Source organism: Homo sapiens, chromosome 8 (genome assembly GCF_000001405.40).
Source record: "Homo sapiens chromosome 8, GRCh38.p14 Primary Assembly".
In the NCBI taxonomy this organism is placed as follows: domain Eukaryota; kingdom Metazoa; phylum Chordata; class Mammalia; order Primates; family Hominidae; genus Homo; species Homo sapiens.
The window spans coordinates 61,472,217-61,487,701 of NC_000008.11; the positions used below are offsets into that span (position 1 = coordinate 61,472,217).

General features: G+C 41.1%; 1 protein-coding gene across 4 annotated transcripts in view, besides 1 other annotated feature; it reads left to right on the forward strand.

Moving 5' to 3' along the window:
* The window catches only part of CLVS1 (clavesin 1), a 536,782-nt gene that overhangs the window by 507,369 nt on the left and 13,928 nt on the right, over positions 1 to 15,485 (forward strand). The gene's annotated exons all lie outside the window — the stretch shown is intronic.
* Positions 8,036 to 8,229: a silencer, noted in NCBI's record as "fragment chr8:62392811-62393004 (GRCh37/hg19 assembly coordinates)". NCBI's record gives its function as "represses an EF-1alpha promoter that drives an FKBP-Casp9 reporter gene in an ReSE screen in HepG2 liver carcinoma cells {active_cell/tissue: HepG2}" and the evidence as "EXISTENCE:reporter gene assay evidence [ECO:0000049][PMID:32094911]".

Below are 15,485 nucleotides of genomic sequence, written 5' to 3' on the forward strand. Positions count from 1 at the left end.
TTATATCTCCTTTCTGAAGATCATATGTTTCCCAAGGGTGGGGATGATGCTCTTTTATTTGCCACTGTGCCTCACTTATTCCCTAGTATATAATAGGTGCTCATGACATAGTTTCTGGAGAGGGGAGGGAAGGAAAGAAGGTAAAAAAGACATGGGGGGAGGAGAAGGAGGGAAACAAAAAAGAGAGAGGAAGGAAACAACAAAAGAAGGAGAGAAGAAAGGAAAAATCGTGTAACAGTAAATGCTGTGAGGAACACTCTATTTTGTAGAGTGATGAGGAAGATATCATCAACCATCCATAAAGGAATAAGACATGGTCTTTGTAATCAATGTTTCATTAGAATTTGAAATTGTCTCTAAGGTTATCAGTAACCAACTCCTTAGTCTCATTACTTCTCCCAGTTTTTGAATTTCCATTAACAATTAACATTTAAAATAATTTTTAAAAATTTTATTCATTCATTCAATAATCATTGAGTATACATTATACACAAGTAGGATAGAGGGCAATTAAGAGAACAGAATCAGTAATCAGATTTTATGCGTTCAAATTAATAGCTGTGTGACCTGAGTAGCTACCTCTCTGTGGCCTACTTTTCCTCTCTAGAAAGGAGATAATAATAGATCTACCTTATTATTGTGCTGTGAGGATTAAAGGAAGTCAGTGCAGGTGTTATCTGCTGAAGACAGAGTGGTTAACCTGGCGGACACTGCCCCTGCAGTGTCTCTGAGTCTGTGGTCTATGAAGGGGGACAGACTTTAAACACATTACCCATACAAACAGCTGTTTCATGGTCACCATAAGTGCTTTGAAAAGTTAAAGTGTACCATGAGGATACAGGTGTGTAACGAGGAGGATCCTAACCTAGTCTTGGGTGGAATTCTGGAAGCACTTTCCTGAGGAAGTCACATATAAGCTGAAAACTGGAATATGAGAAAAGTACCCCAAGCAAAAAGGGAGGCATGGGGGTGGGATTCAGAGCAAACACCCTGCATTTGGAAGGACCAGTGTCAGGAACTACTGTGTTTTACTGATTAATTATAAGATGCATTTTCCATCACATTAAAAATCCCTGAAATGAAGACATGTCCTACAATTGATGACATCTGAAATTCACGGAATTTAAAAAAAAAAAAAAAAAAAAAAAGACCAGAAACATTGGAGAGCAGAAAGCGAGGGGGAAAATGACGGGGGTGATGCACAGGGGCCCACCGTGCAGAGCTGCATAGGGCAGATATGAATATCGGACTTTGTCCTATAAGCAATGGACAGTTTCAGAAAAGTTTTTGCAAATGAGTGCAATGAATAGATAAGTTTATTAAAATTTTCACTCTGTTGTGAGGAGAACAAATTGGAGGTGGAGAGAGTAGTAAAAGAAGGCTGTATGAGACTACAGTAATGGTGCATGTAGGAGATCATTGTAGCCTGGATTGGAGTGCTGAGCGTGGAGGTACAGAGAAGAAGATGACTCAAAAATGTTTAGTGAATAGAATAAACAAGATCTGATGATCAAGTGGATATTGGGATGAAGGTAAGATGCTTCAGGAATGACCAGAGGTCTTTTGCATATGTAAAAGATGCAATGCTGCTGAATGGAAAGCAGACCCTTTTCCCAAGATAAGGAACTCTGGAAGCAGTGCTGACTGGGGAGATGATTGTGAATTCAGTGTTGGACATGATTAATGAGAGGGCTTGTGTGGTATCTGGTTAGAGTAGTCATGTAGGCTGTTTAGAACATGTTTCTCCTGTTCTAAAGCTCAGGAGAAAATTCTGGAGTGGGAAAAATCAGGAACTCAAAGGCATAAAGAGGCAAATGCAAGCCATGGGAATGGAGGAGAACTCTCAGAGAGAGCTTGTAGAAAGAAAAGAAGAATGAGTGCCTAGGTTTGAGCTGAGAGGAAGTTCAGTATTTGAATGTCATACAGCGCAAGACACCATTCTCCAACATGGAGAATGGTAGGAGGTAAACTAGATGTGGTGTTGCAGAAGCCAAAGGAACAGAAAGGATTTCAGGAAGGGTGGAGTCATCAACTCTATTTACTGCTTCTGAGAAGCCAAGTAAGGTGAAGATTTAAAGGTATCCATTGGACATAATGACTTGAAAGTCATAGGAAGCCTTCACAAGAGCTGTGGTGGAGTCACATGGGTGGTTATGAAGATGCAGCGGGCTCAGAAGTAGGTAGGATGTGAGCAGAGGGAGAGATGGGGAAGATATTTGTATCTGGAGAGGCATGTAAAGATCCAGAAGGCTTTTTTGTTGTTTTTCTATTTTCTTCTATTTTCTGACTTTGTCTTCCTCTTCATCTTCTTCTTCTTTTGTTGAAAATGGGAACACTAGGATATCTCAATGCTAATAGCAAAGATCCAGTAAAGAGGGAGAATTGGAAGGTGTAGGAGAGGGAACAATTGATAACACCAAGCAGGTGAGATTGGTTAGGACCCCGAGCCTGAGTGGAGGAAGTTGTTGCTTTTCTAAGAGCAAGAAGCTCTCTTTACAGTAATCAGGCACCTGTGCATGTGGCACCCCAAAGCTGAGAAGTTCCCGAGGACTCTATTTTCCCAGTGAAGCAGGGCAAGTCTTTTTTTTTATATATATACTTTAAGTTTTATTGTACATATGCACAACGTGCAGGTTTGTTACATATGTATACATGTGCCATGTTGGTGTGCTGCACCCGTTAACTCGTCATTTAGCATTAGGTATATCTCCTAATGCTATCCCTCCCCACTGCCCTCACCCCACAACAGGCCCCAGTGTGTGATGTTCCCCTTCCTGTGTCCATGTGTTCTCATTGTTCAATTCCCACCTATGAGTGAGAACATGCAGGGTTTGGTTTTTTGTCCTTGTGATACTTTGCTGAGAATGATGGTTTCCAGCTTCATCCATGTCCCTACAAAGGACATGAACTCATCATTTTTTATGGCTGCATAGTATTCCATGGTGTATATGTGCCACATTTTCTTAATCCAGTCTATCATTGCTGGACATTTGGGTTGGTTCCAAGTCTTTGCTATTGTGAATAGTGCCGCAATAAACATGCGTGTGCATGTGTCTTTATAGCAGCATGATTTATATACTTTGGGTATATACCCAGTAATGGGATGGCTGGGTCAAATGGTATTTCTAGTTCTAGATCCCTGAGGAATCGCCACACCAGCTTCCACAATGGTTGAACTAGTTTAGAGTCCCACCAACAGTGTAAAAGTCTTCCTATTTCTCCACACCCTCTCCAGCACCTGTTGTTTCCTGACTTTTTAATGATCGCCATTCTAACTGGTGTGAGATGGTATCTCATTGTGGTTTTGATTTACATTTCTCTGACAGTCAGTGATGATGAGCATTTTTTCATGTGTTTTTTGGCTGCATAAATGTCTTCTTTTGAGAAGTGTCTGTTCATATCCTTTGTCCACTTTTTGATGGGGTTGTTTGTTTTTTTCTTGTAAATTTGTTTGAGTTCATTGTAGATTCTGGATATTAGCCCTTTGTCAGATGAGTAGGTTGCAAAACTTTTCTCCCATTCTGTAGGTTGCCTGTTCACTCTGATGGTAGTTTCTTTTGCTGTGCAGAAGCTCTTTAGTTTAATTAGATACCATTTGTCAATTTTGTCTTTTGTTGCCATTGCTTTTGGTGTTTTAGTCAAGAAGTCCTTGCCCATGTGTATGTCCTGAATAGTATTGCCTAGGTTTTCTTCTAGGGTTTTTATGGTTTTAGGTCTACCATTTAAGTCTTTAATCCATCTTGAATTAATTTTTGTATAAGGTGTAAGGAAGGGATCCAGTTTCAGCTTTCTACATATGGCTAGCCAGTTTTCCCAGCACCATTTATTAAATAGGGAATCTTTTCCCCATTGCTTGTTTTTCTCAGGTTTGTCAAAGATCAGATAGTTGTAGATATGTGACATTATTTCTGAGGGCTCTGTTCTGTTCCATTGATCTATATCTCTGTTTTGGTACCAGGACCATGCTGATTTGGTTACTGTAGCCTTGTAGCATAGTTTGAAGTCAGGTAGCGTGATGCCTCCAACTTTGTTCTTTTGGCTTAGGATTGACTTGGCAATGTGGGCTCTTTTTGGGTTCCATATGAACTTTAAAGTAGTTTTTTCCAATTCTGTGAAGAAAGTCATTGGTAGCTTGATGGGGATGGCGTTGAATCTGTAAATTACCTTGGGCAGTATGGCCATTTTCATGATATTGATTCTTCCTACCCATGAGCATGGAATGTTCTTCCATTTGTTTGTATCCTCTTTTATTTCATTGAGCAGTGGTTTGTAGTTCTCCTTGAATAAGTCCTTCACATCCCTTGTAAGTTGGATTCCTAGGTATTTTATTCTCTTTGAAGCAATTGTGAATGGGAGTTCACTCATGATTTGGCTCTCTGTTTGTCTATTATTGGTATATAAGAATGCTTGTGATTTTTGCACATTGACTTTGTATCCTGAGACTTTGCTGAAGTTGCTTATCAACTTAAGGAGATTTTGGGCTGAGACGATGGGGTTTTCTAGATATACAATCATGTCATCTTCAAACAGGGACAATTTGACTTCTTCTTTTCCTAATTGAATACCCTTTATTTTCTTCTCCTGCCTGATTGCCCTGGCCAGAACCTCCAACACTATGTTGAATAGGAGTGGTGGGAGACGGCATCCCTGTCTTGTGCCAGTTTTCAAAGGGAATGCTTCCAGTTTTTGTCCATTGAGTATGATATTGGCTGTGGGTGTGTCATAGATAGCTCTTATTATTTTGAGATACATCCCATCAATACCTAATTTATTGAGAGTTTCTAGCATGAAGGTTGTTGAATTTTATCAAAGGCCTTTTCTGCATCTATTGAGATAATCATGTGGTTTTTGTCTTTGGTTCTGTTTATATGATGGATTACGTTTATTGATTTTTGTATGTTGAACCAGCCTTGCATCCCACGGATGAAGCACACTTGATCATGGTGGATAAGCTTTTTGATGTGCTGCTGGATTCGGTTTTCCAGTATTTTATTGAGGACTTTTGCAACGATGTTCATCAAGGATATTGGTCTAAAATTCTCTTTTTTTTTGTTGTGTCTCTGCCAGGCTTTGGTATCAGGATGATGTTGGCTTCATAAAATGAGTTAGGGAGGATTCCTTCTTTTCCTATTGATTGGAATAGTTTCAGAAGGAATGGTACCAGCTCCTCCTTGTACCTCTGGTAGAATTGACCTGTGAATCCATCTGGTCCTGGACTTCTTTTGGTTGCTATGCTATTAATTATTGCCTCAATTCAGAGCCTGTTATTGGTCTATACAGAGATTCAACTTCTTCCTGGTTTAGTCTTGGGAGGGTGTATGTGTCCAGAAATTTATCCATTTCTTCTAGATTTTCTAGTTTATTTGCATAGAGGTGTTTATAGTATTCTCTGATGGTAGTTTGTATTTCTGTGGGATCAGTGGTGATATCCCCTTTGTCATTTTTTATTGTGTCTATTTGATTCTTCTCTCTTTTCTTCTTTATTAGTCTTGCTAGTGGTCTATCAATTTTGTCGATCTTTTCAAAAAACCAGCTCCTGGATTCATTGATTTTTTGAAGGGTTTTTTGTGTCTCTATGTCCTTCATTTCTGCTCTGATCTTAGTTATTTCTTGCCTTCTGCTAGCTTTTGAATGTGTTAGCTCTTGCTTCTCTAGTTCTTTTAATTGTGATGTTAGGGTGTCAATTTTAGATCTTTTCTGCTTTCTTTTGTGGGCATTTAGTGCTATAAATTTCCCTCTACACACTGCTTTGAATGTGTCCCTCTACACACTGCTTTGAATGAGATTCTGGTGTGTTATGTCTTTGTTCTCACTGGTTTCAAAGAACATCTTTACTTCTGCCTTCATTTCGTTATGTACCCTGCAGTCATTCAGGAGCAGGTTTTTCAGTTTCCATGTAGTTGAGCGGTTTTGAGTGAGTTTCTTAATCCTGAGTTCTAGTTTGATTGCACTGTGGTCTGAGAGACAGTTTGTTATAATTTCTGTTCTTTTACATTTGCTGAGGAGTGCTGTACTTCCAACTATGTGGTCAATTTTGGAATAGGTGTGGTGTGGTGCTGAGAAGAATGTATATTCTGTTGATTTGGGGTGGAGAGTTCTGTAGATGTCTATTAGGTCCACTTGGTTCAGAGCTGAGTTCAATTCCTGGATATCCTTGTTAACTTTCTGTCTTGATGATCTGTCTAATGTTGACAGTGGGGTGTTGAAGTCTCCCATTATTATTGTGTGGGAGTCTAAGTCTCTTTGTAGGTCTCTAAGGACTTGCTTTATGAATCTGGGTGCTCCTGTATTGGGTACATATATATTTAGGATAGTTAGTTCTTCTTGTTGAATTGATCCCTTTACCATTATGTAATGGCCTTCTATGTCTCTTTTGATCTTTGTTGGTTTAAAGTCTGTTTTATCAGAGACTAGGATTGCAACCCCTGCCTTTTTTTGTTTTCCATTTGCTTAGTAGATCTTCCTCCAGCCCTTTATTTTGAGCCTATGTTTGTCTCTGCATGTGAGATGGGTCTCCTAAATACAGCACACTGATAGGTCTTGACTCTTTATCCAATTTGCCAGTCTGTGTCTTTTAATTGGAGCATTTAGCCCATTTACATTTAAGGTTAATATTGTTATGTGTGAATTTGATCCTGTCATTGAAATTCTGGGTTGAAAATTCTTTCCTTTAAGAATGTTGAATATTGGCCCCCACTCTCTTCTGGCTTGTATAGTTTCTGCCAAGAGATCCGCTGTTAGTCTGATGGGCTTCCCTTTGTGGGTAACCCAACCTTTCTCTCTGGCTGCCCTTAACATTTTTTCCTTCATTTCAACTTTGGTGAATCTGACAATTATGTGTCTTTGAGTTGCTCTTCTCGTGGAGTATCTTTGTGGCATTCTCTCTATTTCCTGAATTTGAACGTTGGCCTGCCTCGCTATATTGCAGAAGTTCTCCTGGATAATATTCTGAAGAGTGTTTTCCAACTTGGTTCCATTCTCTCCATCACTTTCAGGTACACCAATCAGATGTAGATTTGGTCTTTTCACATAGTCCCATACTTCTTGGAGGCTTTGTTCATTTCTTTTTTTATTCTTTTTTCTCTAAACTTCTCTTCTTGCTTCATTTCATTCATTTCATTTTTCATCGCTGATACCCTTTCTTCCAGTTGATCGCATCAGCTACTGAGGCTTGTGCATTCATCACATAGTTCTCGTGCCTTGGTTTTCAGCTCCATCAGGTCCTTTAAGGACTTCTCTGCATAGGTCATTCTAGTTAGCCATTCGTCTAATTTTTTTTTCAAGGTTTTTAACTTCTTTGCCATTGGTTCTAACTTCCTCCTTTAGCTCGGAGTAGTTGATCTTCTGAAGCCTTCTTCTCTCAACTCGTCAAAGTCATTCTCCATCCAGCTTTGTTCCGTTGCTGGTGAGGAGCTGCATTCCTTTGGAGGAGGAGAGGTGCTGTGATTTTTAGAGTTTCCGGTTTTTCTGCTCTGTTTTTTCCCCATCTTTGTGGTTTTATCTACCTTTGGTTTTTGATGTCGGTGATGTACAGATAGGTTTTTGGTGTGGATGTCCTTTCTGTTTGTTAGTTTTCCTTCTAACAGTCAGGACCCTCAGCTGCAGGTCTGTTGGAGTTTGCTGGAAGTCCACTCCAGACCCTGTTTGCCTGGGTATCAGCAGCGGTGGCTGCAGAACAGCGGATATTGGTGAACCGCAAATGCTGCTGCCTGATCATTCCCCTGGAAGTTTTGTCTCAGAGGAGTACCCGGCCGTGTGACGTGTCAGTCCTCCCCTACTGGAGGGTGCCTCCCCGTTAGGCTACTCAGGGGTCAGGGACCCATTTGAGGAGGCAGTCTGCCCGTTCTCAGATCTCAAGCTGTGTGCTGGGAGAACCACTACTCTCTTCAAAGCTGTCAGACGGGGACATTTGAGTCTGCAGAGGTTATTGCTGCCTTTTGTTTGTCTGTGCCCTGCCCCCAGAGGTGGAGCCTACAGAGGCAGGCAGGCCTCCTTGAGCTGTGGTGGGCTCCACCCAGTTCGAGCTTCCCGGCTGCTTTGTTTACCTACTCAAGCCTTGTTAATGGCAGGCACCCCTCCCCCAGCCTCGCTGCCGCCTTGCAGTTTGATCTCAGACTGCTGTGCTAGCAATGAGCAAGGCTCCGTGGGCGTAGGATGCTCCGAGCCAGGTGCAGGATATAATCTCTTGGTGTGCCGTTTGTTAAGCCCATTGGAAAAGCGCAGTATTAGGGTGGGAGTGACCTGATTTTCCTGGTGCCGTCTGTCACCCCTTTCTTTGACTAGGAAAGGGAATTCCTTGACCCCTTGCACTTCCCAGGTGAGGTGATGCCTCACCCTGCTTTGGCTCATGCATGGTGTGCTGCACCCACTGTCCTGCACCCACTGTCCGGCACTCCCCAGTGAGATGAACCCGGTACCTCAGTTGGTAATGCAGAAATCACCCATCTTCTGCGTCGCTTCTGCTGGGAGCTGTAGACTGGAGCTGTTCCTATTCATCCATCTTGGCTCCACCCTCAGGGCAAGTCTTAAGAGTGAGATTAGACTAGGGTACAGAAGGGTTTTTAGGTAAGATGATACAGACGTGCATGGGCTTGAAATTGCCTTGGGGGAAACATTGAACGTGGAATGCTGTTTTAAGTGTTGGTAGGAGGGGTAATAATGAGTTTACAGTGACCTCTCTATTCTTGGGTAGTGTGATCCGCACTTCTCAGCTGCTCTGAAGCTGACATGGAAGAGGAATATTGTTGGAGTCATCCAGAGCTGGGATTTGATTAAAGGAGCTCAGTGTATGGCCAAGAGAAAGACTGAAGTGCCTGATTATGCATTCTTGGTTTAGAGGAAAGGAAAGGAAACTAGGACAGGCTTCACACATAAGGGGACATAGGTGTTGTTGACCTGTGAGGGCTGAGTAAGGAGGTAGACACATTACCAGTTACTGACTAATATGAGCTAATGGAAAATGTGCAGCTGTCCATCTCCCTGAGCCCTAGCTCTGCAATTTGGTGTATAAAAAATAAAATAGGGGGAGGTTCCAAGATGGCTAAATATGAGCAGCTCCAGTCTGCAGCTCCCAGTGTGAGCGACGCAGAAGATGGGTGATTTCTGCATTTCCAACTGAAGTACTAGGTTCATCTCACTGGGGCTTGTCAGACAGTGGGTGCAGCCCACAGAATAGAGTGGGGCATCACCTCACCCAGGAAGCGCAAGGGGTCAGAGGATTCCCTTTCCCAGCAAAGGGAAGACGTGACAGATCGTACCTGGAAAATCTGGAAACTCCTACCCTAATACTACGCTTTTCCAACGGCCTTAGCAAATGGCACACCAGGAGATTATATTCCATGCCTGGCTTGGAGGGTCCCACACCCACAGAGCCTCACTCACTGCTAGCACAGCAGTCTGAGATCAAACTGCAAGGTGGCAGCGAGGCTGGGAGAGGGGCGTCTGTCATTGCTGAGGCTTGAGTAGGTAAACAAAGAGGCTGGGAAGCTCTAACTGGGTGGAGCCCACCGCAGCTCAAGGAAGCCTGCCTCCCTCTGTAGATTCCACCTCTGGGGGCAGGGTATAGCTGAATAAAATGCAGCAGAAACTTCTGCAGACTTAAATGTCCCTGTCTGACAGCTTTGAAGAGAGGAGTGGTTCTCCCAGCATGGAGTTGGAGATCTGAGAGTGGACAGTCTGCCTCCTCAAGTGGGTCCCTGACCCCTGAGTAGTCTAACTGGGAGACATCTCCCAGTAGGGGCCGACTGACACCTCATACAGCTAGGTGCCCCTCTGAGACGAAGCTTCCAGAGGAAGGATCAGGCAGCAACATCTGCTGTTCTGCAATATTTGCTATTGTGCAGCCTCCACTGGTAATACCCAGACAAACAGGGTCTGGAGTGGACCTCCAGCAAACTCCAACAGATCTGCAGCTGAGGGTCCTGACTGTTAGAAGGAAAACTAACAAACAGAAAGGACATCCACACCAAAACCCCATCTGTACGTCACCAACATCAAAGACCAAAGGTAGGTAAAACCACAAAGATAGGGAGAAACCAGAGCAGAAAAGAGGAAAATTCTAAAAATCAGAGTGCCTCTTCTCCTCCAAAGGAATGCAGCTCCTCACCAGCAATGGAACAAAGCTGGATGGAGAATGACTTTGATGAGTTGAGAGAAGAAGGCTTCAGATAATCCATAATAACAAACTTCTCCGAGCTAAAGGAGGATGTTCGAACCCATTGCAAAGAAGCTAAAAACCTTGAAAAAAGATTAGACGAATGGCTAACTAGAATAAACAGTGTAGAGAAGTCCTTAAATGACCTAATGGAGCTGAAAACCATGGCACAAGAACTACACGACACATGCACAAGCTTCAGTAGCTGATTTGATCAACTGGAAGAAAGGGTATTAGTGATTGAAGATCAAATGAATGAAATGAAGTGAGAAGAGAAATTTAGAGAAGAAAGAATAAAAAGAAATGAACAAAGCCTCCAAGAGGTATGGGACTATGTGAAAAGACCAAATCTAGAAATTATAACAAACTGTCTCTCAGACCACAGTGCAATCAACCTAGAACTCAGGATTAAGAAACTCACTCAAAGCCACTCAATTACATGGAAACTGAGGAACCTGCTCCTAAATGACTACTGGGTATATAACGAAATGAAGGCAGAAATAAAGATGTTCTTTGAAACCAATGAGAACAAAGACACAACATACCAGAATCTCTGGGACACATTTAAAGCAGTGTGTAGAGGGAAATTTATAGCACTAAATGCCCACAAGAGAAAGCAGGAAAGATCTAAAATTGACATCCTAACATCACAATTAAAAGAACTAGAGAAGCAAGAGCAAACACATTCAAAAGCTAGCAGAAGGCAAGAAATAACTAAGATCAGAGCAGAACTGAAGGCGATAGAGACACAAAAGATCCTTCAAAAAATCAATGAATCCAGGAGCTGGTTTTTTGAAAAGATCAACAAAATTGATAGACCACTAGCAAGACTAATAAAGAAGAAAAGAGAGAAGAATCAAATAGATGCAATAAAAAATGACAAAAAGGATATCACCACCAATCCCACAGAAATACAAATTACCATCAGAGAATACTATAAACACCTCTACACAATTAAACTAGAAAATCTAGAAGAAATGGATAAATTTCTGGACACATACACCCTCCTGAGGCTAAACCAGGAAGAAGTTGAATCCCTGAATACACCAATAATAGGTTCTGAAATTGATGCAATAATTAATAGCCTACCAACCAAAAAAAGTCCAGGACCAGACGGATTCACAGCTGAATTCTACCAGAGGTACAAAGAGGAGCTGGTACCACTCCTTCTGAAACTATTCCAATCAATAGAAACAGAGGGAATATTTCCTCTCCCTAACACATTTTATGAAGCCAACATCATCCTGATACCAAAGCCTGGCAGAGACACAACAAAAAAAGAGAATTTTAGACCAATATCCTTGATGAACATTGATGCAAAAATCCTCAATAAAATACTGGCAAACTGAATGCAGCAGCACATCAAAGAGCTTATCCACCATGATCAAGTGTGCTTCATCCCTGGGATGCAAGGCTGGTTCAACATATGCAAATCAATAAACGTAATCCATCATATAAACAGAACCAAAGACAAAAACCACATGATTATCTCAATAGATGCAGAAAAGGCTCCGACAAAATTCAACAACCTTCATGCTGAAAACTCTCAATAAATTAGGTATTGATGGGAGTATCTCAAAATATGAGCTATTTATGAAAAACCCACAGCCAATATCATACTGAATGGACAAGAACTGGAAGCATTCCCTTTGAAAACTGGCACAAGACAGGGATGCCCTCTCTCACCACTCCTATTCAACCTACTGTTGGAAGTTCTGGCCAGAGCAATCAGGCAAGAGAAAGAAATATAGGGTATTAAATTAGGAAAAGAGGAAGTCAAATTGTTCCTGTTTGCACATGACATGATTTTATATTTAGAAAACCCCATCATCTCAGCCCTAAATCTCCTTAAGTTGATAAGCAACTTCAGCAAAGTCTCAGGATACAAAATCAACATGCAAAAATCACAAGCATTCCTGTACACCAATAACAGACAAACAGAGAGCCAAATCATGAGTGAACTCCCATTCACAATTGCTTCAAAGAGAATAAAATACCTAGGAATCCAACTTACAAGGGATGTGAAGGACTTATTCAAGGAGAACTACAAACCACTGCTCAATGAAATAAAAGAGGATACAAACAAATGGAGGAACATTCCATGCTCATGGGTAGGAAGAATCAATATCATGAAAATGGCCATACTGCCCAAGGTAATTTACAGATTCAACGCCATCCCCATCAAGCTACCAATGACTTTCTTCACAGAATTGGAAAAAACTACTTTAAAGTTCATATGGAACCAAAAAAGAGACCACATTGCCAAGACAATCCTAACCCAAAAGAACAAAGCTGGAGGCATCACGCTACCTGACTTCAAACTATACTACAAGGCTACAGTAACCAAAACAGCATGGTACTGGTACCAAAACAGAGATATAGACCAATGGAACAGAACAGAGCCCTTGGAAATAATACCACACATCTACAACCACCTGATCTTTGACAAACCTGACAAAAACAAGCAATGGGGAAAGGATTCCCTATTTAATAAATGGTGCTGGGAAAACTGGCTAGCCATATGTAGAAAGCTGAAACTGGATCCCTTCCTTACACCTTATACAAAAATTAATTCAAGATGGATTAAAGACTTAAATGGTAGACCTAAAACCATAAAAACCCTAGAAGAAAACCTAGGCATTACCATTCAGGACATAGGCATGGGCAAGGACTTCTTGACTAAAACACCAAAAGCAATGGCAACAAAAGCCAAAATTGACAAATGGTATCTAATTAAACTAAAGAGCTTCTGCACAGCAAAAGAAACTACCATCAGAGTGAACAGGCAACCCACAAAATGGGAGAAAATTTTCGCAACCTACTCATCTGACAAAAGGCTAATATCCAGAATCTACAATGAACTCAAACAAATTTACAAGAAAAAAACAAACAACCCCATCAAAAAGTGGACAAAGGATATGAACAGACACTTCTCAAAAGAAGACATTTATGCAGTCAACAGACACATGAAAAAATGCTCATCATCACTGGCCATCAGAGAAATGCAAATCAAAACCACAATGAGATACCATCTCACACCAGTTAGAATGGCGATCATTAAAAAGTCAGGAAACAACAGGTGCTAGAAAGGATGTGGAGAAATAGGAATGCTTTTACACTGTTGGTGGGACTGTGAACTAGTTCAACCATTGTGGAAGGCAGTGTGGCGATTCTTTGATGATCTAGAACTGGAAATACCATTTGACCCAGCCATCCCATTACTGGGAATATACCCAAAGGATTATAAATCATACTGCTATAAAGACACATGCACACGTATGTTTATTGCAGCACTATTCACAATAGCAAAGACTTAGAACCAATCCAAATGTCCACCAATGATAGATTGGATTAAGAAAATGTGGCACATATACACCATGGAATACTATGCAGCCATAAAAAATGATGAGTTCATGTCCTTTGTAGGAACATGGATGAAGCTAGAAACCATCATTCTGAGCAAACTATTGCAAGGACAGAAAACCAAACACCACATGTTCTCACTCATAGGTGGGAATTAAACAATGAGAACACTTGGACATGGGTGGTGGGGAACATCACACACTGGGGCCTTTCGTGGGGTGGGGGCAGTGGGGAGGGATAGCATTAGGAGTTATACCTAATGTAAATGACGAGTTAATGGGTGCTGCATACCAACATGGCACATGTATACATATGTAACTAACCTGCACGTTGTGCACATGTACCCTACAACTTAAAGTATAATTAAAATAAATAAATAAATAAATAAATAAATAAAATAAATGGGAGAGTGATGCCTCCAGTGGGGTCAGAGGGAATGGGAACAAGAACACAGACAAGGAGCTCAGCTTTGAAAGAGGTACTCAATGGGACAGGTGGCATGTTTGCTTTTTGCTTAGTTTTTTTTCTCATGCCTTGCTCAGAGTCAGGCCAAAAATAAATGTCCAGTACGGATTCTATTAATGAAGAATAAATGAAGGAATTAATGGGCAAAGAGGGACAATGTTAGTAGAACTATTCTTACAAGAACTCATCTAGTTAGTCTTTGGTGTTTGACTAAAATCATAGTTCAGGCTACTGACCTGGAGGTATTACTGTAAAATCTGACTTTTACGTTATTTTGAAATTAACCTTTAATTTGAACCAATGTAAAACAATGATTCAAACTGAATCTCAATAATCCTTCACGTACCTTAAACTGTGGATAGAATACATCTTTGCAGTTGAATAATGAAGTGTAGTGTTGAAAATGGAGGAGTTGAGGAGGTAAGTGTGGATCAATAGCAGAAAGGAAGCGTTGAATTCTTGCTCCAGGTGAAAGAATGAGGAGGAATAACTGGTCCTGCTACAGGTGCATCACATTGCTGGAGACTCCTCTTGGTGGAGGTACATCCTCACTAAAGTATCATCACCCCTTTCCCTGCCACCCTGATTCATTTGCACTTACCCTTTCCAAAATTTCCTGTTTGCCTATGTGTTCATTGTCTCTATCAGCCCCCACCAACTGTGTATGCTGAGGCTTATCTGATTAGTGCAGTCCTGTGGCCCAGCACCTAAACTAATGCCTGGTGCTAATAAGGGATTGAGAAATATTTGTTGATTTGATTAAGATACTATTCCAATTCACTTGGAGTGTTTCCTACCTATGTGTGAGTTGTTGCTAGCTCTAGAGCAAAGCTTTGAAAATTTTAATGAGCATACAAAGCACCGAGATCTTGTTAAAATACAGATTCTGATTTAGTAGATCTGGGCTGGGTCTGAGAATCTGCATTTCTAACCAGCTCCCAGGCTCTGCCCCTGCTGAGGGCCCAGGGACCACAGTATGAGTGGCAAGGCCCTAGAGTGTAGTCGTTTCCCACATTTCAGACTGCAATATGGATGTTCCCTGGACTTGTTCTGGGGGTTCTTGAAAACTGAGCCATTCAAGTTTTGAGAATTTAAATAAAAAATATAGATTTAAAAAATATATTTAAACTAGATAAGAATAGATAGGTTATTATCCACATTTTATAGATGAAGTGGCTGAGGCACAGAGCAGTTAAATAACTTACCTCAGATCACAGAGCTAGTAGGTGGCAAAATATTTTAAATTCAGTTATTTTTATTCTAAGTAAAATGCTGTCTCCTACATCGTGTTCTCACACTATTTGTGTATTCACTCATTCATTCTTCAGTGGTTTATAGAGTATCTTTTTTGGGGATTCACTTTTGCTTAAACTACTATTTTGGATGTATGTTCTCATTCGTGGCAGCCCAAATTCCATCCTGTCTTTAAGACAGTTGAAAAGCAAATTCCTCCATCACAATTTTCGTGCACTGCACTGTTCCCCAAACCCCATCCCTAGTGGGG